The following is a 23,874-nucleotide window of genomic DNA, read 5'->3' as shown; positions in this document are numbered from 1 at the left end:
TGGTGGATTAGCCTTTTTTTGATGTGCTGCTGGTTTCAGTTTGCTAGTATGTTATTGAGGATTTTTGTGTCGATGTTCATCAAGAATATTGGCCTGAGGTTTCTTCTTTTACTGGATCTCTGGCAGGTTTTGGTATCAGAGTGATGCTGGCCTTATAGAATGAGTTAGGGAGGAATTCTTCCTCTCAGTTTTTTGCAATCGTTTCAGTAGGGTTGATACCAGCTCTTTCATATACTCTGGGGTTCTCTGAATTTCCTGAATTTGAATGTTGACCTCCTTAGCGAGATCGGGGAAATTTTCATGGACAGTATCCTCAAATATATTTTCCAGTTTGCTTGTTGTTTCTCCCTCTCTGTCAGGGACCCCAATGAGTTGTAGTTTTGGTCTCTTTACATAATCTCATATTTCTCAGAGGTTTTGCTCATTTTTTCAAAAATTCTTTTTCATTTTATTTTATTCTATTTATTTATTTTTTTTGAGACAGAGTCTTGCTCTGTCGCCCAGGCTGGAGTGCAGTGGCACGATCTCGGCTCACTGCAAGCTCCGCCTCCCGGTTTCACGCCATTCTCCTGCCTCAGCCTCCTGAGTAGCTGGGACTACAGGTGCCTGCCACCACGCCCACCTAATTTTTTGTATTTTTAGTGGAGACAGGGTTTCACCGTTTCAGCCAGAATGGTCTCGATCTCCTGACCTCGTGATCCACCCGCGTTGGCCTCCCAAAGTGCTGGGATTACAGGTGTGAGCCACCACGCCTGGCAAATTCTTTTTTATTTTTGTCTAGCTGAATTGATTTGAAGAACCAGTCTTTGTTCTCTGAGATTCTTTCCTCAACTTGGTGTGTACTGCTGTTAACACTGCTGAATGTATTATGAAATCCTTGTAGTGAGTTTTTCAGCTCTACCAGGTCAGTTTGGTTCTTTCTTAAAATAGCTATTTCGTCTTTCAGCTCTTGATTCATTTTACTGGATTCCTTAGATTCCTTGGATTGGGTTTCAACTTCCATCTGCATCTTAATGTTCTTCACTGCCATCCAGATTCTGAATTCTGAATTCCAAATGTCTGTCATTTCTGTCATTTCAATCCGGTTAAGAACCATTGCTGGGCAACTAGTGTGCTCATTTGGATGTAAGAAGACACTCTGTGTTTTAGACTTGCCAGAATTCTTGCTCTGGTTCTTTCTTATCTGTGTGGGAAAATGTTCCTTTAATCTTTGAAGTTGCTGTCCTTTAGATGGGACTTTTTTGCTTTTATCTTCTTTGATGTCATCGAGGGTTTTACTGTGGTACAAGTTGGGTTTAGTTGACTAGTTTCATTTCTGGATGATTTCAGGGTACCAAGGCTCAGCTCAGTGCTTGTGGGTTGCATGCTGTAATCCAGAGGGCCTTTGAACAGACCCAAAACCTTGTTCTCTGGCCCTTCAAGATAAGCAACTGCTGTACTGGAGGGGCCACAGTGTTTCCAGTGTGCTGGCAACAACACTCCAATGAGGGGTGCAGTCAAAGCAGTCAGGGGAAGTCTGTGGGCAAATGTATGCTGGCAGCAGCCCATCTGCTAAAGCTTTCTGTTGGTTAGGTGGGGTCTGTTGGTGAAAAAGCTATGGCAGTGGCTGCTGGGAAGCACCCAGTAGGTCATCTGAGGCTGTGCTGCAATCAGACATGGCCAAGCAGGGACCCTGGGAGAGACTGGCAGACAAAGTGTTGCTCAGATCAGACTGGCCCCCATCCCATGGGTAAGACAGCCCTATATTGTGCAGGTCCAACAGTCAACAAAGGCCAAAGCCACCTAGAGGTACATGACAAGCCTTAAGGGACAGGCATCCCTGGCTGTGCTCCACTGTAGCCATTTCCATGCCAAACCCTCTGGGCTCCACACAGGCTGGGGTCCTATGCCTGCTAACTCTCCAAGCAGCACTCCCTGCTGGTTCAGATGCCTGGGGGGGTTGTGGGGCCTCCTGCCACTAGAATTCTGGAGATACATGGTGAGAGTGGACTACTCCACACCTATTTAGTTAATTCTTCCCCAGGAGCTGCTCAGGGCCAGAAATGAGTCCTGGTGCTCAGCAACCCCATTCACGGTTCCTAGCTTACTCCCCTTTCAGCCCAGGGTCTGCTTGGTCCTCCCTCTGTCCACTCTCAATGCCTTCCTTCTGACAGTCTGCTTAAAGTATGCTTGTCTTCTTGATGGTCTGGTTTCTCGGTGAATGAAGCTCTTCCTGGCCACATCTAGTTGGCCATCTTGGCTCTGATCAACCCTGAGATTCTTTTTAAATAAAAGTTTTATTTAAGATGGTTGCTAAAATTAAAATAAAAGGTACTAGTCTCTTTATTAGTAAATAATAAATGTAATATAAAGTTATAGTTCTACATTTAATCCACTTCTCTTCCTTCCTTTTGAAGAGTGTAAACTCAAGATGGGAAAGGAGGACAAAGCCAGAAGTGTGAAAGATATTTAAGCAGTTTTAGTTGACAGTGAGTTTAGTTTCAATTAACAGTGTGATGTGGTTGCTAAAAAAGCTAGTATGATTTTGGGATGCAATAAGGTAAGCACAGAATCTATGAAGACCTCCTGGTGTGTTGTATTCCATGTCGGCTTCCCCTGCTAACACTGATAAAGAAGGTCTAGGATGTGCTCAGAAGGGAGTAGGCAGAATAGGGGATTGAAGCCAAACAATAATAAAAAAAAAAAATTTGGAACCTATGGTCTGCCGAAAACTTTGGGGGACATGGTAGCTTTCTTTCCGTAATTTGAAGGATTTATACTTTGTGGAGGAATTAGATGTTTTGTATGTGTCATCTCATAAGAAAAAACTTAGCCCAAAAGGTAAGAGCTACACAAAGACCAGTTATGGCTTAGTATAAAGAAAACTTTTAAAAATTGGAACTGATCAAAGATAATTTAACTGCTTGATAGTAATAGTTGCTACCTGTCAGAAAAATTTTGAACCTGGTTATTTATTTGTATAGATGGTGGTTAGATTACATGATCCTCTAAGCTCATGTTTAGTCCTAATGGTTCTGATTAGGTCTAATTAAAATACATTATGCTTCACTTGCTGAATGTTTAGCATGCTTTTTTTGTGAAATAGCTTTAAATGTTAGAATGTGAACATAATTTAAAGTATGAAATATTTCCAAATTCAAGAATAGACACACTAGCAATTAAGTATCACATAGGGCTCATACATTGAAAATCTAATTTGGAAAATTTTCATATTTCTTGGTTTTTCTTTGGAGGAAGGTGCTGTTCTATCAGCCATGCAGAAAACTTACAAAGAAATGATCTTCATAAAAATTTGAATAGAATATATTAAAAACTTACCTATTACATAATTAAATGAAGGGAAAAAGCCCTCTGCCCTCCTCAAAAAGAGAGGTAATTTTTCTTGGCAGTTAGGAGAAATAAGTCCTAACGTAGAGAGGGGGAAGGAAAAAATATAATAAGAAAATGAAATGTTCTTTGAATGTGTAATTTTGTACTTAAATGGAAAATAGAGAAGCTTTTTGCTTCTCTATTTTATATAATATATGTTTTATATATTTTATAAAGTGAATTATTTTCTGTTTGTAAAGGGCTAATTCTCTTGGGAAGAATTTCAAAATTCGTTAATAATTTTTTAAGGAATATTGGGAATAATATTTTAAGGAAAATTGGGGAGTAATTTAGTTTAATATGGATTATAGGGACTAATGTACTTGTTTGCTGATTTAAAAGGATAAATACTGAAATATTAAACTGAGTAGGAACAAAGCAAAATTTGTGCTTTTGTTTGATCTGCCTTCATCAAAATTTCTACAAATTTTATTAAATGTAATCTTGCTATTTTTATCATGGTAATAACATTATACAACATTTTTAATTATATTAAAATGATTTCTGTGTCGCAAAGAAATTTATTGAAATAGAAAAGGACACAAGAATGCTGAGAAAAATATTGAAAAGTTGTGCTGGTTTGCTTCATTTTAAAGAGAAATTTTGATAGTTTAATAATGAAAGATAAATTATAAATTTTAAAAAACCTGTATTTACTAAAGCCTGGGTTGAATGAAAACATTGATAGTAATAAACTCCATTGTCATGTAAAGCACTTTGAACAGAAAGTACTTTATAAATTTAATAAAATCCTATATATACTTTAATACCAATATATGTATGGATGTAAATTGCTTAAGCCAAATCATACAAATTAGTTTATTTACCCTCCTCCCCAAATTACACTGTTCATAAATTTTAAACTTTATAATTTTGTGACATTTATACTTTTGCTTAATCATCTCTTTGGATTAATTTTAGGTTTTTAAAAAATATCAGGTAACAGGTGAACAACAGGACCTATTGCCTGGTAGCACTACAGTTTCAGCAGCTTAGGTATCTTTGTAAAAAAGCATTTGTGCAATTATAGAATACTTTATTGCATTTTCCCCTTATTTTTAAAAGTAGAGCAAATGGAAAAATTAAAGTGCTGATGTCATTTAAAAAATAGTAGATTGGGTGCAGTGGCTCACGCCTATAATCCCAACACTTTGGGAGGCTGAGGTAGGAGGATTGTTTAAAGCCAGAAGTTCAAAACTGGCCTGAGAGATAAAGCAAGATTCTGTCTCTATAAAAAACTTAAAAAATTACCTGGGTGTGGTGGTACACACCTGTAGTCTCAGCTATTCAGGAAGCTGACATGGATCGCTTGGGCCAGGAGTTTGAAGCTGCAGTGAACTATTGTCATGCCACTGCACTCCAGCCTGGGTGACAGAGCGAGACCCTGTCTCCTAAAAAAAAAAAAAAACAGATACGTAATAGATACTAGGCTTAATCACAGTGTATTAATACTTGTGAATACATTAGAAATCATTAGACTCAACTAGATATTCATTGGACTTTACTAGTCACCTACATATTGAATTATGAACACCAAAAGGAAATGTTAAATATTTATTGTCAAAGATTGTGACTGAACCATCTGGTATAATTTAGGATTGTGATTTAGGATTGGGTAGATTTTTTTAGCACTTGAGAGCTAACTTTCCTACCTCTATTGGGTAGATTTTTTTAGCACTTGAGAACTAACTTTCCTACCTCTATTATATAAGTTCAGGGTTCAGCTTTCTTCCATTTGATCTTCATCCATGTTTTCATGAAAACATTATGTACTAATGGAAGAAATTCCTGTATTCAAAAAATTATATTACAAACAAGTTTGAAAGAGGTTCAATTTGGAGTTTATATTTTGTTAAACTATTTGGTTCCTTAGATGTTTTTTCTTCACATAGAAAATAAGCAACTCTCGATTTATGTAGCAGTTTCTCAGCTAGTTGAGAAATAATTTGTATGTATTACTGATCTGTTAAGGTGAACATATATTGTAACATATATAAAGCAACATTATTTTATATCTCATTGTGTTTTAAAATTAGAACAAGCTCTTTCTCTGCTCTGGATGAGAACTTGGTGGGGAGCATATAGCACACTTTTTGGTAACCTACCCAGTTTTATGTTTATTTCAAATGGCAAAATATATTTTAGAAATAGAAGTGTTCAGTTCTAGTGAGTAGTGAAAGCCTCAATCTTGCTTTAAAGTTTCTTTAAGTTTTATTCCTCTCCCTAAACTTGGGCTTGTTGCAAGTTGGGTGTAGTTTGCTTCTCTTACCCTACCTAGTTTTTTTTTGTTTTTTTTGTGTTTTTTTTGTCCTTTCACATTTCTGAATTTGTTAGATCTGCTAGTATGGGAACGAAGAAGAGGTAAGAAAAGAAGGAAAGTCTGTAATTGCCATTTGTATCTTGGTGATATAGCATTGATGTTCTCTGTACTTGGCTGTATGTTTAAAGCTGACTATTATCTTATGGATGCTTTTGTGGGTTGAGAGAATCAGCCACCCACATTCACTTAATGCTATGGATGATTTATCTGCAGTTCTCTTGTTGAGGGTATATTAATCATCTTCTTTTTTACATGGTAGTACCTCCAGCTTCCTGATGAGGATTATTCATCCTTTCTAGAAAGAAACTAAGATAACCCTTCAGGTTATCAGGTTATAAAGTTCCCTTTTCCCAGTTTCTTGAGACATTTTTGGATTTTCTCAAATGCCTTTTCTGTATCTGTTCATACGGATCATATGGTTTTTCTTTATTCTGTTGAGATGGTGAATAATAAAATTCAATATTATTTATTTAATATTCTGTTGAGATGGTGAGTAATAAACAGTAAAGATTTTTTTTATTTGTAGTGAAATATAAATATAAGTTTACTGTTATAGCCTTTTTATTTATTTATTTATTTTGAGACGGAGTTTCACTCTCGTTGCCCAGGCTGGAGTGCAATGGCACGATCTTGGCTCACTGCAACCTCTGCCTCCCAGATTCAAGCAATTCTCCTGCCTCAGCCTCCCAAGTAGCTGGGATTACAGGCATGCATCACCACGCCTGGCTAATTTTGTATTTTTAATAGAGATGGGGTTTCTCCATGTTGGTCGGGCTATTCTCGAAATCCCAACTTCAGGTGCTCTGCCCTCCTCAGCCTCCCAAAGTGTTGGGATTGCAGGCATGAGCCACTGTTCCTGGCCAGCCATTTTTAAATGTACAGTTAAGTATCCTTAAGTACATTTACAGTGTTGTGCAACCACTACCACCTCCATCTTCAGAACTTTTCATCATCCTGTGTGGAACCCATTAAATAATAACCACCCAATTTCCTTTTCTCTCCAGCCCATGATAATCGCTGTTTTATTTTTTGCCTCTGTGTATTTCACTGTTCTGGGGACCTGATATAAGTGGAATTATATAATATTTGTCCTTTGGTGTCTAACTTTTCTCACTTAGCCTAATGTTTTCAAGGTTCATTCATGTTGTAGCATGTGTCAGAATTTCATTCCTTTTTAAGGATGAATAATATTCCATTGTATGACTGTGCCACATTTTGTTTATCCATTCGTCAGAGGACATTGGGTTGTTTCTACCTTTCGGCTGTTGTAAATAATACTGTTATGAACATTGGTGTGCAAATATCTGTTCAAGTACCTGATTTCACTTCTTTTGGATATATATCCACAGGTGGAATTGCTGGATCATATGGTAATTCTATGTTTAAGTTTTTGAGTCACCTCCATACTGTTTTTCACAGTAGCTGTACCATTTTACCTTCCCACTGGTAATGCCCAGAAGTTCCAGTTTCTCCACATCCATGCCAACATTTGATAATAGTCATCCTAATGAGTCTGTCTCATTATAGTTTTGATTTTCATTTCCCTAATGTTTTGTGCTATCAAGCATTTTTTTCATGTGCTTCCTGGTTATTTGTATATCTTCTTCAGAGAAATGACTGCTTAAGTCCCTTCCCTCTTTTTACATTGGGTTGTCTTTTTGTTGTTAAGCTGTAAGACTTCTTTATATGTCCTGCTGCAATTGCTCAACTTTGCCATTGTAGTATTAAAGCTCCCATAGACAATGTGTATATGACGGAGTGTCACTTAGTTTCAATAAAATTTTATTTACAAAAATAGGTGGCGGTCCACATTTAGCCTGCAAGCTGTAGCTTACCAAGCCCTGCTTTAGAGCAGAAGTTCTTAAACTTTTTAGTCTCAGTACTGCTTTAAACTTTTATTGAGGACTTCAGAAATCTTTATATATGTATCTCATTATTTACTATTTTAGAAATTATAGATTAGGGACTTTAAATTATTTAGTTATTCACTAAAAATAAACAATAATTAACCTATTATGTGTTAACAACATAAATAACAATTTTATGAAAAATAACTGTCTCTTCCCAAATGAACAACAACAAAAATAGTGAGAAGAGTGTCATTGTTTACATTTTTTGTGAACCTTTTTGGTTCACAAAAAATAGCTGGAGTCTCATTTCTGCTTGTTCATTAAATCTTTTACAATATCCCATGTCAGCCTGTGGAAAACTCTACTACATACTCATAAGAGAATGATTCTGAAAAAGGCAAATTACATCTTAGTAATATTAAGAAAATAGTTCTGACCTTGCTGATCCTCTGAAAGAGTCTTGAGGTCCTCTGTAGGTCCCCAGACCACTCTTTAAGATCATTTCTCTTGGGCAAGATTAGCCTCATTACTAAGGCTTGACTCATCTGGGATCTCAAACGAATGTCTTAGGTATTTGAAGAGGACTTACCACTTCGGTTATTGGGAGCTTTAATGATTCCCAGTCCTCTGTGCCCACTGGAAATTGTTTGGCTTACTGCTTTCCAGTAATTGTTCTTTCCCCAGTGCTTGTTCTTTGCCTATCCTTGTGAAGTTTTGCTGTATGCATGTTCATATTGTGTTCAGGCATAGAATGAAGGGGACCCCACGCATATTTCTGGAGTTTTTTCTTTGTGTAGCTTATTCCTTATCAATTCAGTAGACTACTAGATTCTCTTTGGCATCTCCCTCTTCACATTGCAGTCCCAAAATTGCCTGCAGCCAGAAAACTCAGTTGTTTGTAGGGCTCACCTCATTTATTTTCTTTCTCTCAGGACCTAGAGGCCTGTGCTGCCTGTTGCTCAGCATCTCTGGATGCTTCAGATATGTTCTCCAGTATTCTAGTTGTCTGTAGTGGGAAGGCAAGTCATGTAGCAGTTAACCTTCATGAGCAGATGTCTCGGACTTTCTTGTTTTATTTTATTTTAAGACCGTATCTGCTGAAAATTATGCATTAAGGTCTCATATATCCTTTCAAAACATGGTCTTTGTTGTTGTAGTCTTCCGCGAAAACTTTCATCTTAGCATCTAGTTAACATTGATACAGAGGACATTTTTCACTTCTTATTTTGAGATGGAGTTTCGCTCTGTCACCAGGCTGGAGTACAGTAGCGCAATCTTGGCTCACAGCAACCTCCACCTCCTGGGTTCAAGCGATTCTCCTGCCTCAGCCTCCCAAGTAGCTGGTACTACAGGCACATGCCACCATACCCAGCTACATTTTGTATTTTTAGTGGAGACGGGATTTCACCATGTTGGCCAGGATGGTCTCGATCTCTTGGCCTTGTGATCTGCCTGCCTCAGCCTCCCAAAGTGCTGGGATTACAGGCGTGTGCCACTGCACCCGGCCCCCATTTTTCACTTTTATACCAGGAACATATATGGAAGAATATAGTTATTTATAAATATTTGCTTCTGATTTAAACAACTATGTGGACTGTGTTTATTTTGTCTCAACCTCCTGGTAATATATCTAGCACGTTAAGAAGAACGATTTTAAAAACATGTTTTATAACTATTTTGTTTTTTACATTTAGCTTTAAATGTAAAGCTATCGTCTATCACATATATTTAGTTTTAAGTTTTGTACCTTAGGGTTTATTAGTTACTCTTATATAATGTAGTCACATAGACCTGGATTAAATTCTGGCTCTGTGCTTTACTAGATGTGTAAACAAGGACCACTTGCTTAACCTGATGTGAACCTCAGTTTCTGCATCTGTAATACAGACACAGTAATGCTGTATTAATTAGAAATCAGAACATATAGTAGCAGAGCTTTTGATAATGGTGTTTTCTACAAGGTGGAAATTTATTTCTTCTACCTCTTCGTGTAAGAGGAGCCTGGCAGTCCAGGAGTGGTATGGCAGCCTCACAGTGTGTTTGTGGACCCAGTTTCCTTCTCTTTACATTCCTTCATTCTTAGCTTGTAGATTTTATCCTCAAGGTTGTCTTATGGTCCAAGATGCCTACTGGAATTCCACCTATCATGTCCATATCCCAGGCAGCAGGAAGGAGTAGATGAGAAAGGTAAAAGGGGCATGTTTTTCTTTTAAAGAAACTTTCTTTAGTACACACCATCATTTTGTTTAAATCTTACTGGCCATAACTTAGTCATATGGCTCTACCTAACTTTAAGGGAAGTTGGATCTTTTAGCCAGATGTTATGAAGAAAGAGGGGATAAAGGGATTTTAGGTTAGGCAACTAGGAATATGTCACTAATGTCTTCAATCAGAATTTCATGGGTTCCAAACCCAATGAGAAATTATTCAGCAGATGCTCGTATCTGTGGTAGCAGGAGGCGGCCAAAATATCAACTTTATAAAACAGACAGAACTGATATTTGAGAAATATAACTGCATTATATCTTAGTCAAGTGTGTTTCCTAATATTGAACCTTAGAATTAAACAGTCTTACCCATCCAGTTATACCACTAGACCAGGTAGCATGTGCCTCTATTAAATTAGTGGCCTGAAGGAACAAAGCAAATGTTTGGTTCCTGCCAGAAGCTCTTTCTCAGGAGAAAGCGTGTAGTGAGTGAGGGGATAGAGAGTGTCCAGGAGTGTTACTTATGTCATCAGAAATAGGAAAGTATTGCCCTCTTCCTTCCCCACTCTTGTAATATCTTATGCTACGAATATAGCACGATGCCTGGCGTATAGTGAGCATTCACTATGGAGTGATTATTATTATAATGATGGTTTTGAGCAGTTTGAGCTACTGCCTCTATGTGTAATAGTCTGTATGTTTAATCTTATGACATGCATTGCTATTTGAAACATAGCATGCTTTTCCATGAAATATTATTTTTAAAATTCATCATGAGATAAAATTGATAAATGATTTTAAAATTTTTTACTCTACCTTTTAATTATTTTAAACTTTTGGTGAGGTCACAGTTTCCTATGCAAATTTAATGAAACTATGTATATAGCAAATTATACGTACGATTTCTGTGGGTACGTGAACCTTACGATAATAACTCATGGCTTAGAAAAAATTTAAAAAACTACAGACACCTACCTATTACTGTAAACTCGTATCAATGACTATTGAATGAGCTAAGCACAATTAATTAAAAGGAAGTTTTGGTTAAAATCATGTGAGGTCGACAGACACATTTTTTAATTTCAACTGTTCCCTCCTACTAGCTTTTTGACCTTAAGCCAGTTATTAACCTAAGTGTTATGTTTTTTTTTTAAATCAGAAAAATGAAGAAATAAAAGTTCCTATTTGACAACACTGAGAAATAAATGAGACAATATGTATAGAGCATTACTTCTGGGCCAGACACAAAATATTCACTTGCTCTTTGCTGTTACTGTGTTTATTATCATTAGTGTTTTTAGTATTCTTTGCTTTTCTAAACTTGCCCTGATCATCTTGAAGGCAGTGAATAAGTGTACCTGAATTTCACAATTTAGAAACGTAATTATTCTGAGCAAAACACTTGATCCTTTAGATCTGCCTTTCTTTTCTTCCTTAAAAAAAAAAAGTTCTTAAGAGCCATCTTCGTGATCTTTGATCTCTCCATAAGAAGAAAGACCATTTACTTCCTGCTTATGGCTCATCAAGGAAAAAGGTCTTCAAAAATTTCCTGTCCTTCTTTGCTTCCTCTCCTGTCTCCTTTCTGGCTCAGCAGAGAGAAAGATGTCAGTTTGATACCTTTGGCCTCTTTTAAAAACCTAATAATGGTCTTTATCCTGTCAGCAGTTCCTGGGTATTTAGTGTTTTACCTCTTGATCCGAGGAAAAGTGCTTAACTTTCCCTATTCCTTTCTAATGAATAGCTTAGGCTACAGAAGTTTGGTCTCCTTACTAAGAGCTACAGAGCCCCTGCTGTTTTTATAGGCTGACTTTTGACACAGAGTACTTCTGTTCAAGGAGCTCATTGTTACAAAGTTAGTGCCAGTTTATACTAGAACTTAACTTTTAAAGCACATGTAAATAGATTTCTTAATGGGTTTTTGGGTTTTTAAAATCACCTAGATTTTTTTTTTCCTGGTGGCCAAATAGCACATGCTCATTCTGAAAAATTGTTCAGAAACTTTAAAAATCATAAAGAAGAAAATAAAGATCTCCTATGGTCCCATCCCACGAAAACAGTTAATTTTACTATTTTTGGGTAATTCCACCTAGGTCTTTTTCTATATACAAATATAGATTTACATGCCTTTAAAAAATTGTTGTTTTCCCCCAAATGTGATTCTTCTGTATATATTGTTTTATAATCTTTTTTCTACTGTAACTATATATGTACATGATTATTTTAAATAGTTCTATAGCAGTTCGTTGAATGGCTATATTGTAATTTATTTAACCAATTCTCTATTGTCATGGATATTTAGGCTGTTTTTAATTTTCTAGTGATTTAATCACAGGACAAGATTTTTCTGCATCCATTTTTTTCTCCAAGGCCAGCCTTCATTAGACATCAATTTTTGAGTGATTGTGTTACTGTATTTTAATGCATTCTCAGAAGTTTGAATTAGTAGGTCAAAGGTTGTGTTTCTACTAACTGGTGATGAAAGCACCTTTTTCTAATCAAATTTGAGTACTATCAGTTGTTTAAATATTTTCCAATATGATGATAAAACTAATATCTCTGTGTGTTTTAATTTCTCTTTCTTTGATTATTAGACGTTGAACACATTTTCATGTTTTGTTGGCCACTTGCATTTTTTCTGAGGTTCGTTTTCTATTATGTGTTTCTTCTTTCCCTAGGATATGTATATTTTAAAATCAATAGCAAAAGAAAGAAAGAAAGAAAGAATCAGCAGCAGAATTCTATTTCTTGCATTAAAACTAGGTTGTTGTATTTTTTAGGAAAGGTAGTTTTCTCTTTGCTGGACCCAGTTCCTCACTTAGCTAGTTATTTTCAAGTATTTAATATAGGAAATGAAGTAAGTACTTAGTAAAGGAAACCAAACTTATGAGAATAATTTCTTTGTCTAAAATACAAATGAAGAGGATGGAAATCCTTAATGCTTGTTTGCATGATAAAGTACCTAATTTGGCTTAACTGATCCTTCTTTGCTTGCATCTGGCTCTTGACCATGTTCTACATAGGTGTCTGTATAATTAACATATTATCTGGGCCTATATTTAACATACTATCTGGACCTATATTTTTACATTTTTCATTTTTGTTGAAATTAAAAGATATGAAAATGTTGATTCAAATACTCCTTTTAGCAAACTATGATTTTTAAAATCAGAAGATAAGATGCATTGGAAATCTTTTCATATGATGAAGTGCATGTTATTTTTACTTTATTGCTTTTAGAAGAAAAACAACAGTGAAGACATTATGTATTTATGCAGACTACAAATCTGATGAAAGCTATACTCCAAGCAAGATCTCAGTCAGAGTAGGAAATAATTTTCACAACCTTCAAGAAATTCGGGTATGTCTTTCAAATTTTTAAAAATATGTCATCCTTTAACTTTTACTCATTAGAAGATAGTCACAGTTGACATTACATTAGACAGGTTAAAATGTTAATATATAAGAGAAAAATATTGGAGAAAACATGTTTGAGTGTAAAATTTTTTTCTTCTGAATTCTGATTGTTCTCTTTATTTTTTCCACAATATTTTATTATTGAAATTTTCAGACATACAGAAAAACTCAAAGAATTGTACAGTGAATGCCAGTATACTCACTTCCTAGATTCTTCAGTTGTTAATATTTTGCTATATTTGCTTTATTACAATCTGTCCATCTAATTTTTTTGTGCATTTAAAAATAACTTGTGCATATTTGTCCATTTCACCCCAAATACCAGTGTGATATATTGGTAGAGTTATCAACATTTGCTTAATTTTCATTTTTTAAGATAAAATTTATGCACAATTTTGCATAATCTTAAGTATATTACTTGGTGAGTTTTGACAAACACATACATTTATGTAATCCCAACTCCTGTTAAAATATAGAACATTTCCACCACTCCAGAGAATTCCATCATATCTGTTCGCAGTTCAGTCTTCATCTCTATCCTACCCTCAGAAATAACTATTATACTGATTTTATTGATTGATTGATTTTTTATCATAGATCCATATTGCCTGTTTTACAATGTCATATGAACAGAGTCATACAGGATATAACTTTTATGTATGGCTTCTTTCACTCAGCCTAGGGTTTTTGAGATTTGTCCACGTAGTTGAATGTGTCACTGCTTCATTCTTTTTTACTTCTGAGTTGTATTTCACTGTTTGAATATACCACAATATATTTATCCTGCATGAAGTTATTAGGACAGTGCTTTAGTCCTGAAGTATTTCAGAGGTATTTTCAATGACTTTGAACTACATAATTGTGAAGCTGTGGCTGTTGACATTTTTTGGTCAGAAAATCATTAAGCCCAAATAATCATTAAAATCTGGTGGTTCTGAGAGATTTGGGAAGCACTTGTGATCTTTGAAAGGCCTCCAGTTAATTTGTGGTCTTGGCTCTTATTTGACTTAGTGTTTATATTAAGACCGTGTCTCTAAATTTATGTTTAATCTGAGTTAGTAATAAAATACTTAATAGAAATCACATGTACTTTCATTGTTTTCTTATTAAGTAAGTGTTGTTCTCGTAAAACTTGCATATGTATTGACAAATAAGAACAGGTGAGGATATTGTCCAAGGTATTTTTGTTGTTGTTTTGTCTTTTGAGATATTCATTGTTTTTAAAAAAATTATTAAATATTGTATGTATCATGTACAGTATGATGTTTTGAAATATATATACTTTGTAGAATGACTGAATAAAGCTAGTTAACATATGCATTACTTCACATACCACTTTTTTGTGGTGAGAACTCTCAAAATCCACTCTCTTAGCAATCTTCAAGAATATAACACATTGTTTATTAATGTAGTCACTGTTATATACTGGATCTCTTGATTTTATTCTTCCTATCTAACTGAAATTTTGTACCCTTTGACCAACATCTCCCCAATCCCTCCTTCCATTATAGCCCCTAGAAACTATCATTCTCCTTCTGCTTCTGAGTTCAACTTTTTAATATTCCATATGTAAATAAGATCATGTGGTATTTGTCTTTCTGTGCCTGGCTTGTTTCATTTAACAATAGTGTTCTCCAGTTCCATCCACGCTGCTGCAAATGACAGGATTTCCTTCTCTTTAGGGCTGTATAATATTCCATTGGGTATATATACCCCACAGTTTATTTACCCATTCATTGATGAATACTTAGGTTGATTCTATATCTTAGCTATTGTGAATAATGCTGCAGTGAACATGGGAGTGCCATCTTGCTGACATCTGAACTCAGGTTGTTTGTTACTTTGAGATAACTTCTTGGTCTTGTTATAGACAATTATCTTAATTTACTTTTTTTTTTTCTTTTCTTTGGAGACGGAGTCTTACTCTGTCACCCACACTGGAGTGCAGTGGTATGATCTTGGCTCACTGCAACCTCCACCTCCCAGGTTCAAACAATTCTTAAACCTCAGCCTCTTGAGTAGCTGGGATTACAGGAATGCGCCACCATGCCCAGCTAATTTTTTCTATTTTTAGTAGAGATGGAGTTTCGCTGTTTTGGCCAGGTTGGTCTCGAACTCCGGCCTCAAGTGATCTGCCTCTCTCGGCCTCCCAAAGTGCTAGGATTACAGGCGTGAGCCACCATGCCCAGCCCTTACTTTTAAGAAACCCTTCTTGAAAACTAATTTCAGCTTCTGAAAAATTGAAAAATTGTTGTAAATTAGTTTTCTTTTAATTTAAAAACATTTCTTCTTTTGTCTGACAGGCCATGCTGGTTGATGTGTACTTCCTGTGCTTGAATAGATTAATAAATAAATCAGCTCTTAGTCTTCTTAAGTTTTTCTATTCACCCAGTGCTTCTTAAATTCAGAATATTTTAAATTTTTTTATCATAATCTTTTTTTTTTTTCTTTTTTTGACAGAGTCTTGCTCTGTCACCCAGGCTGGAGTGCAATGGCCTGATCTCAGCTCACTGCAGCCTCTGCCTCCCAGGTTCAAGTGATTCTCCTGCCTCAGCCTCCTTTGTATTTTTAGTAGAGATGGGGTTTTGCCATGTTGGCCAGGCTGATCTCAAACTCCTGACCTCAAGTGATCTATCCACCTCGGCCTCCCAAAGTGCTGAGATTACAGGTTTGAGCCACCGCGCCTGGCCTCTTATTTTTGGACCAATTGACAGCCCTTCTTTTAGTCACATATCTGATACATTTAATCAGTGTTTAGTTCTCTGATGACTTGACGTATTAAATTGTATTTTATTAAAAATTTCACATTACCAAATGATTGGATCACTCATATTGGTAAGCCTTTTATAAGTAGAGTTGGCTTGTTTTGATTTATAACTAAAGATTTATCATATAGCTCCTCAGGCAGTTGTGATAAGTGAAACACTAGCAATAAAATGTTTTGATTTGATATACGTGGTATATATTTGAAACCTCCTCTAGATGTCACTGTTGTCCTTTATTTTCTAGTTTCGTAGCCTATTTGTACTAAGTTCAAGACCTCATGTAATCTTAGTTGTACTTGTTTTTCCTGGAGAATATATATTCAAGAACTCTTTGATGCATTTTTGGGAAGTGTACATATTCATATGAAATTTCTAGGTATCTGTATTAAAGATGTTTTGTATTCTATTGTAAATTTTACTGACATTAAATAAGGATTTTGAGAAGTTAACAGGAGAAACTTTAAGCGATATTTGGACCTTGTAAAATACTTTTAATCTAGTCTTTGCTTCTATTATGTCATCTAAGTGCTGAAACATTAGCCATATAGAAAAAGAGCTCTTATAGGTAGTCTCTTAATTTTTTCTAAGTGTGTTTATATTTCTATTTAGTGACCACATAGCCTCATGAGACCAGTAATACAAAATATTATCAGGTGATAATGTGAGTTGTTTTCCTGGAAAACTTAATGAACATACTACTTTTCTGCCATAGTTCTCACTCAGGAACTACAATTTTTGGATGTTGCTTTAAATTGTTAGTGCCTAGCTTTTGCAGCTCGTGATATGAATACTTTTATCTTTTAATTATACATCTTTGTATGAGATTTATACTGTTTACCTTTTTTTCTTTCTAAGTTAAATAGGAGCCTGATAGCACTTTGCTTTTTAAGGAAAGATGAAGCAGATCATGATTTTATTTTTTCTGTTATTCTACCACAATATCTAAATATATAAAAAAAACTTTGCTGCTTCTGACTCATATACTAAAACAAGTTATTAAAATAGTGTGAATTTTTATGAGGTTTTCAGAGTCATCATTTCATTAGTTATAGTACTGATTTAACTGAGTGGAAAATCCACCTAAATCTTTTTTATTTTTCCGTGGATGTTTGCCCACTGGAGGGTGTAGTGTAGTGTGTATTGAAATGTTTTAATAGATTTTCCTTTTTTTTTCACTAGAAATTATGAATTTGTTTACTTGAGATGCTTATTTTTTGTAATTGTTGATTTGAAGTAGTAACTTAAAAAATAGTCTAAGTTGAGAAAAGCATATAGCTGCCTTATTTAGCAATAAATTATTCTTTTTCTATCCTATTTATTTTCCTTCATTTTAGTTATGAAGCATGTATTGTATCTAGATCTTTGTTACTTCTATTGATAACTCTCTACAAAGGCATCAGACCCTTCCTTTAATACCCTAGAATGTGTATTTTAACCACTATACCTGAGGACTTAAATTGAACTTTCTGCTGAATAGTCACAAGATACTAAAACTGGATTTGGCCAAACAGAATATTTTTAATGACAAAATTGAAATTATTTATGCTTCTCGTTCTACTTTCTTGTATTCAAAATATCCTATTCCACATAAATTGAAAACCAACAATTTAAGAACACTTTATAAGATGTTTGCAATTTATTGCTTCTACACAAGAGACTATTTCTATATAGAAGTGATAATTTAGCATTTCTGAGTCTACACTGTCTTTCTTTGCAGAATGCTTCATCTCAGTTGGGTTACTTTTGTGCATGAATTCATGTTATTCAAGAGAAATTTTCAAATCAAGATGGTAGTTTTTAAATTCTTAAATCCCTTGCGTTTTAGCATTATGTTTTGATTTAATGTTGTTCTTTTCTTTTGCTCTCAGAAGGAAAAATAATGTGTGAGATTTTTTTTTTATCATTTAGAGCAATGGACCAAAGAACATTATATTTTAGATGTGATCATTATAGCATTTTAGAAAATATCTCTAGCTGAAATTCAAGGATACTTAAAGTCCTTTTCAGTTTGCTAACTAGTTATTGTTGTTTTTAAAAATTATTGTAGAATATTTTGTACTTAAATATGAAACTAAAGTGTTTTTTAGACACACTGTGACAGTTCTCAAATTATTTCTATATTGTTATATGAGAAACAACTTGTTAAGGTTAAGTAGACACTTTCAGCATATGTGAAAGTTGTCCTTTGGTTTATTGCTTCTAAAATTTGTGGCCATGAAAGGATAAAATATTGATAGAGCACAAGAGCACAAGATCGAGTGCTTAAGTGAATTTTAAGCTCTGTTTTTGTCTTCAGATAATAAAGCTGTTACCAAGTGATTTTTTTTAAAAGGAGGCTTGAAATAAGTCTTCAGTGTTAGAGAGAGCTGTAATGTTTTCCCATGGTTTCATGTGGCCTTTCGCTCTCTACTTGTGTCTTATTTCAGTAGCACAACCATGTGAGTCCATATATGGTACTTTGACAGAAGTGGTTAGTATGTCAGTTCTTCTGATAAAATAATATTTCCTATTAAAATTTGAGTTCCCCTAATGTATGTGATAGAGTAAGAAGATGCAGACAAAAGTTCTGGCTCTATTTGTTGATCCCAAAATCTACTTATATTTGCTTTCTTATGAGGGGCCTATTTTAAACAATTTGATATAAAGTGGAATGGCTTAGGCAGTATCTATAAACATAAATTGGTTTGATAAGACAGAAAGTGTAATTTATCAAGTCTTTGGAAAAATAGTTTTTGTTGAATTTAGCTAGTTTAAAAGATTTTTTTAAAAAAGTAGTTTCATAACTAACTTTAGTTCATCTTTGAAGTCATTGTAGAATGTTTTGGTGTGATACACATAATTTTTAGGCCAAAAAATGTTACCTTCTAACCTTCTCTAAAAGCAATATATAGAATTTTTGAAAACTTTTATTTATTATTGTATGCATCACTTATTTCCAAAATGGAGTTGAGGTAACTATGCATTTGGGGCATATTTCCTTTTGGAACTAAAATATGTTATACAGAAAAGTAACATCTGTATTTTTAAGAAGAAGTATCATCTATATTTTTTAGAAACTTAATTGTATCTTGTTTTTGTTTGACCACAAACTTATACTGTAGATTATTTAAGAGATGTAGTCTGGCATTTCATACAAAACAGATTCATGCTTTATTCTGTGAATAATGCTGTAGGGCCTGCTAAGTGCCAGGTACTGTGTTAGATACTGGGGATACAATAAAGTCACAGTTTCTGCCTTTGAGCACTTCATAGTCTCATGGAAGAGATATGCAAAAAATTCTCAGTTGCCATTTAGTATAGTAAGTACCTGGAGGTGGCTATGGGAACACAATATTGTTTTGTGGTTTTTAAAGCCCAGTGGTTTAAAAAGCTGAAGAGGTTGATGGTTCAACTGACTGTTTAGGATAAATACAAAGCCTATTCAGGTGCAAAATCAAGTGGAGGCATTCTAGCAGGGTCATGATGTACATAAAGGTATGGAAGCACAGTAGCATGGTATAGTGACAGAAGTGCAAGTAATTCAGTCTGCCATGGAAGCTGGATAGGTCTGAGGGAGTGGTAAGAAAGACTGGAGAAGTATTTATTCATTCAACACATATATTGTGATGTAACATGGTTCCCATACATAAGTTTACATTCTTGTAGGGAAATAAATATAGTATATAATTGTTTCAGTGAAAATGTATAGTCAGATTGTACGTAATGGCAGACATTAAATGAGGAAACATCAACACAGCTTAATCATGGGAATGGGGGAGCTGGAGCACCTAGAGACCAGGTAGATATAATATTAGCCAGGTAAAAATTACGAGGATTTAATTAAGGCTATGGCAGTTGGGTTCCCTATATTTGAAATAAATTAAAAGGACTTGTGACTGATTGCTACCTGGGGTATATTCAGAATATTGGGTAGGATTTGAATAAGCAGAAAGGGGCATCTGGAATTCTCAGCTTAGGCAACTGGTTGAAAGTTGGCATTTACTAGTAATGGCATACAGAGAAGGAACATTCTGAGGGGGAGGGGCAGAGAGAAAGGGACTTAGATAATGAGATTAATTTTGGTCACTGATATCTGGTATCTCTTCAAATGGAGGGATTTTCAGTAGGTAGTCCATGGATAGTAGGGTATGGTATATGGATCTGAACCTAAGGAAAGAAGTCTGGGTTAGAGATACAGATTTTGGAATCATCAGTGTGTAAATAGAAGCTTAGATATGAAAGAAGAGTGCTAGGGCTGGAACCATGAAGATGCCAATATTCGAGAGTTGGATAGGAAAAGGTTATCCAGTGAAGAAAGCTGAGAGGAACTCTCAGAAAGATGAGAAGAAAATTAAGAGAATATGTTGTCATATTCTCATATGAAGTCATATAAAGTCAGGATTATCTAGGCAGATAGGGACTGAAACACTTCCTGTATTTCATGTTTTAATAGGCAGTTTACTTAATGTAATTTACTTAATGCAATTCTGAACTAAGGTAGTTCTTAAAACTTGTTTAAGCACTCTTTGGAGTAATTGTTTCTAAATTTATAGATTGGGGACTAATGAAATGATTTAATAGCAGGAATTCTATCTTTTCTTATTATAATATTTGTGCCAAATAAGATGATTCTGAGGAGGATTCTTGTTTGGTTTCATAATGTGTTGATTTGGAAGGTTCTGTACTGCTAATGCGTACTTAAACTTAGAAGTTGATGAATTTTCTTTCAAGAGCATTGTCCTGTAAGGTCACTTTTTTCAAGTGATCTTTTGCAGCAGTTATAGAAGACCTGCACTGTTTCTTTTAGGCAAAGTGGCAATGGTAACAGCCTAGGGCAAAGAAGACAAAAAACCCACAAAATCTAAAAACCCTTTATTTAACCATATGACAGGATATGATTCAATAGAAATATGCATTTTACTTATGAAAATGAAAATGACATGGTTTTAGAAATGCAGATTATCAATCCCTCTTATAAGGAAAACATACTGGGAATATAGCCTGCTGGTCAGAGCAGGGGTGAGCATTTGGCTGAGAGCCTAGCATAGTGTCTGAAACAGTAGGCATTTAATTAAAAAGTTGTTAAATAACCACACTGTTACAGGACCCCACCACTTACCCAAACTTGTTAACCTTTGGGTCGGGGATTTCCACACTATAGTCCCTTCAGTGGTCGCCAGAAAGATGTTACAAGGAAAGGGGTCCCAATCCAGACCCCAAGAGGGGGTTCTTATATCTTGCGCAAGAGGGAATTCAGGGCAAATCCATAAAGTGAAAGCGAGTTTTTTAAGGAAGTAGAGGAATGAAAGAATGGCTACTACATAGAGCAGCCCTGAGGGCTGCTGGTTGCCCATCTTTATGGTTATTTCTTGATGATATGCTAAACAAGGGGTGGATTATTCGTGCCTCCCCTTTTTAGACCATATAGGGTAACTTCCTGACTTTGCCATGGCATTTGTAAACTGTCATGGTGCTGGTGGGAGTGTAGCAGTGAGGACTACCAGAGGTCACTCTCGTGGCCATCTTGGTTTTGGTGGGTTTGGGCCAGCTTCTTTACTGCAGCCTGTTTTATTAGCAAGGTCTTTATGACCTGTATCTTATGCTGACCTTGTATCTCATCTGGTGACTTAGCATGCCTTAACCGTCTGGGAATGCAGCCCAGTAAATCTCAGCTTCATTTTACCCAGCTCGTATTCAAGATGGAGTTGCTCTGGTTTCACACGCCTCTGACAATACCAGAAGTTCATAGGCTTGCCATTGACCCATGCTTGTGTAGTTTGCTTCAAAGAGATTATCTGGGCAAATCAGATTCCCTGTCTCAGACATTTTAAAAACTTTTTTAATTGCAAAAAACATATACCACAAAATTTACCACCTGAACCATTTTTTATGTAGTTAGTTCAGTAGTGCTACATATATGGTATTCACGTGGTTATGAATACACATTTCCAGAACTTTTTTGTCTTTCAAAACCAAAAATCATAGTCATTAAATAACAACTCCCAGTTTCCCCCTTCTCCAGGCCCTGGTGAGCACTGTTCTAGTTTTTGTTTCTATGAATTTGACTGCTTTAGATACCTCATATAAGTGAAATCATACAATATTTGTCCTTTTTTGACTAGCTTACTTCACTTAGCATAATGTACTCAAGGTTCATGTTGTATCATGTGACAGGATTTCCTTTTTTTTTTATTTAATTTTTTTTTTATTTATTGAGACAGTGTCTAGCTCTGTCACCCAGGCTGGAGTGCAGTGACGTGATATTGGCTCACTACAACCTCTGCATCCTGGGTTCAAGTGATTCTCATGCCTCAGCCTCCTGAGTAGCTGGGACTACAGGCACACACCACCATGCCCGGCTAACTTTTGTATTTTTAGTGTAGACAGGGTTTCACCATTTTGGGCAGGCTAGTCTCGAACTCCTGACCTCAGGTGATCTGGCCGCCTCGGCCTCTCAAAGTGCTGGGATTACAGGCCTGAGCTACCTCACTGGCCTCCTTTTTTTTAAAGACCAAAGAATATTCAGCAGGTGCAAAAGGTATGTATTTCATTTTGCTTATCTATTCATCTCTCAGTGGTCACTTGGGTTGTTCCCACCTCTTGCCTAATGTGAATAGTAGTGCTGTGAACAGTGGATGTACACTTATCTTAAGATCCTTTATTCAGCTCTTTTGGGTATATATGCAGATGTTGGATTTCTGGATTACAAGTTAGTTCTATTTTTAATTTTTTTTGCCTTAGAAATTTAACTCAGAAGAAACAGAAGCAAAGTTAGCATCGGCAAGATCTGATACTGAGAGATAGTGATATGGAAAAGGGTGGGTAAGGTGAAGGGCCATGTGCAAACTGAAGTTATAAAGTAGAAGAGTACAACTATAAGATACGGGAAGACACAGAATGGTGTAGAATGAATAAAATAGATGCGAGGGTAGATACATAACAAGGAGAAAGAACAATAAACTTGAGCAAGTGGCTGGGGTCTCTTATAGTCTTCATTTACTGACCTCTTTCATACTTGACCACTTTTTCCTGAGTTCCATGGACACATGCACACACACACATGCACACACACACAGGCACACACACAGGCACACACACACACATGCGCTGCACGCACGCGCGCGCGCGCGCACACACACACACACACACACACACACACACACACACTATTCAGTATGTCCCCTCATCCTGTGGTAAGTTTTTTTTTTTTTTTTTGAGATAGAGTCTCTCTCCATTGCCCAGGCTGGAGTGCAGTGGCGCGATCTCGCTCACTGCAAGCTCTGCCTCCTGGGTTCACTCCATTCTCCTGCCTCAGCCTCCCAAGTAGCTGGGACTACAGGCGCCTGCCACCATGCCCGGCTAATTTTTTGTATATTTTTTTTTTAGTAGAGACGGGGTTTCACCATGTTGGCCAGGATGGTCTCGATCTCCTGACCTCATGATCTGCCCTCCTCGGCCTCCCAAAGTGCTGGAATTACAGGTGTGAGCTACCGCGCCTGGTGTGGTAAATTTTGCGTAAATATTTCTGGCGACTAACATGTTGCTGATTAAAACAGTAGTAATCAGGCTGGGCACGGTGGCTCAGGCCTGTAATACCAGCACTTTGGGAGGCCGCAGCGGGCAGATCACAAAGTCAAGAGATGGAGACCATCCTGGCCAACATGGTGAAACCCCATCTCTACTAAAATTAGAAAAATTAGCTGGGAATGGTGGCGAGTGCCTGTAATCTCAGCTACTCAGGAGGCTGAGGCAGGAGAATCGCTTGAACCTGGGAGGCAGAGGTTGCAGCGAGCTGAGATTGCACCACTGCAGTCCAGCCTGGTGACAGAGAGAGACTTCATCTAAAAAAAAAACACACACACACACAGTAGTAATCAGCTGAAAGTGCTGCAGTAAATCTTGCTGAAACTACCTGCTGAAGCATTTTATCATAATTTAAAAGTATATCTTAATAGAGGTGAGCCTAGTCA

The 23,874-nt window shown here is 36.0% G+C and overlaps 1 protein-coding gene across 21 annotated transcripts in view; it reads left to right on the top strand.

Annotated features, from left to right (window-relative positions):
- Positions 1-23,874, top strand: part of ANAPC10 (anaphase promoting complex subunit 10) — a 103,997-nt gene that overhangs the window by 20,896 nt on the left and 59,227 nt on the right. For 16 of the 21 annotated variants that reach the window (NM_001256708.2, NM_014885.5, NM_001256706.2 and 13 more), the window contains one exon: positions 12,984-13,104. The exons of 4 other annotated variants lie outside the window; for them this stretch is intronic. In NM_001256708.2, the coding sequence (NP_001243637.1) occupies positions 12,984-13,104 (121 nt within the window). Of the gene's footprint in view, positions 1-12,983; positions 13,105-13,314; positions 14,484-23,874 lie in introns of those variants that run through there. One more of the 21 variants, XM_047449506.1, reaches the window with a different exon arrangement.

This window comes from Homo sapiens, chromosome 4 (genome assembly GCF_000001405.40).
Source record: "Homo sapiens chromosome 4, GRCh38.p14 Primary Assembly".
NCBI lineage: Eukaryota > Metazoa > Chordata > Mammalia > Primates > Hominidae > Homo > Homo sapiens.
This window is presented reverse-complemented; position numbering and strand designations above follow the sequence as displayed.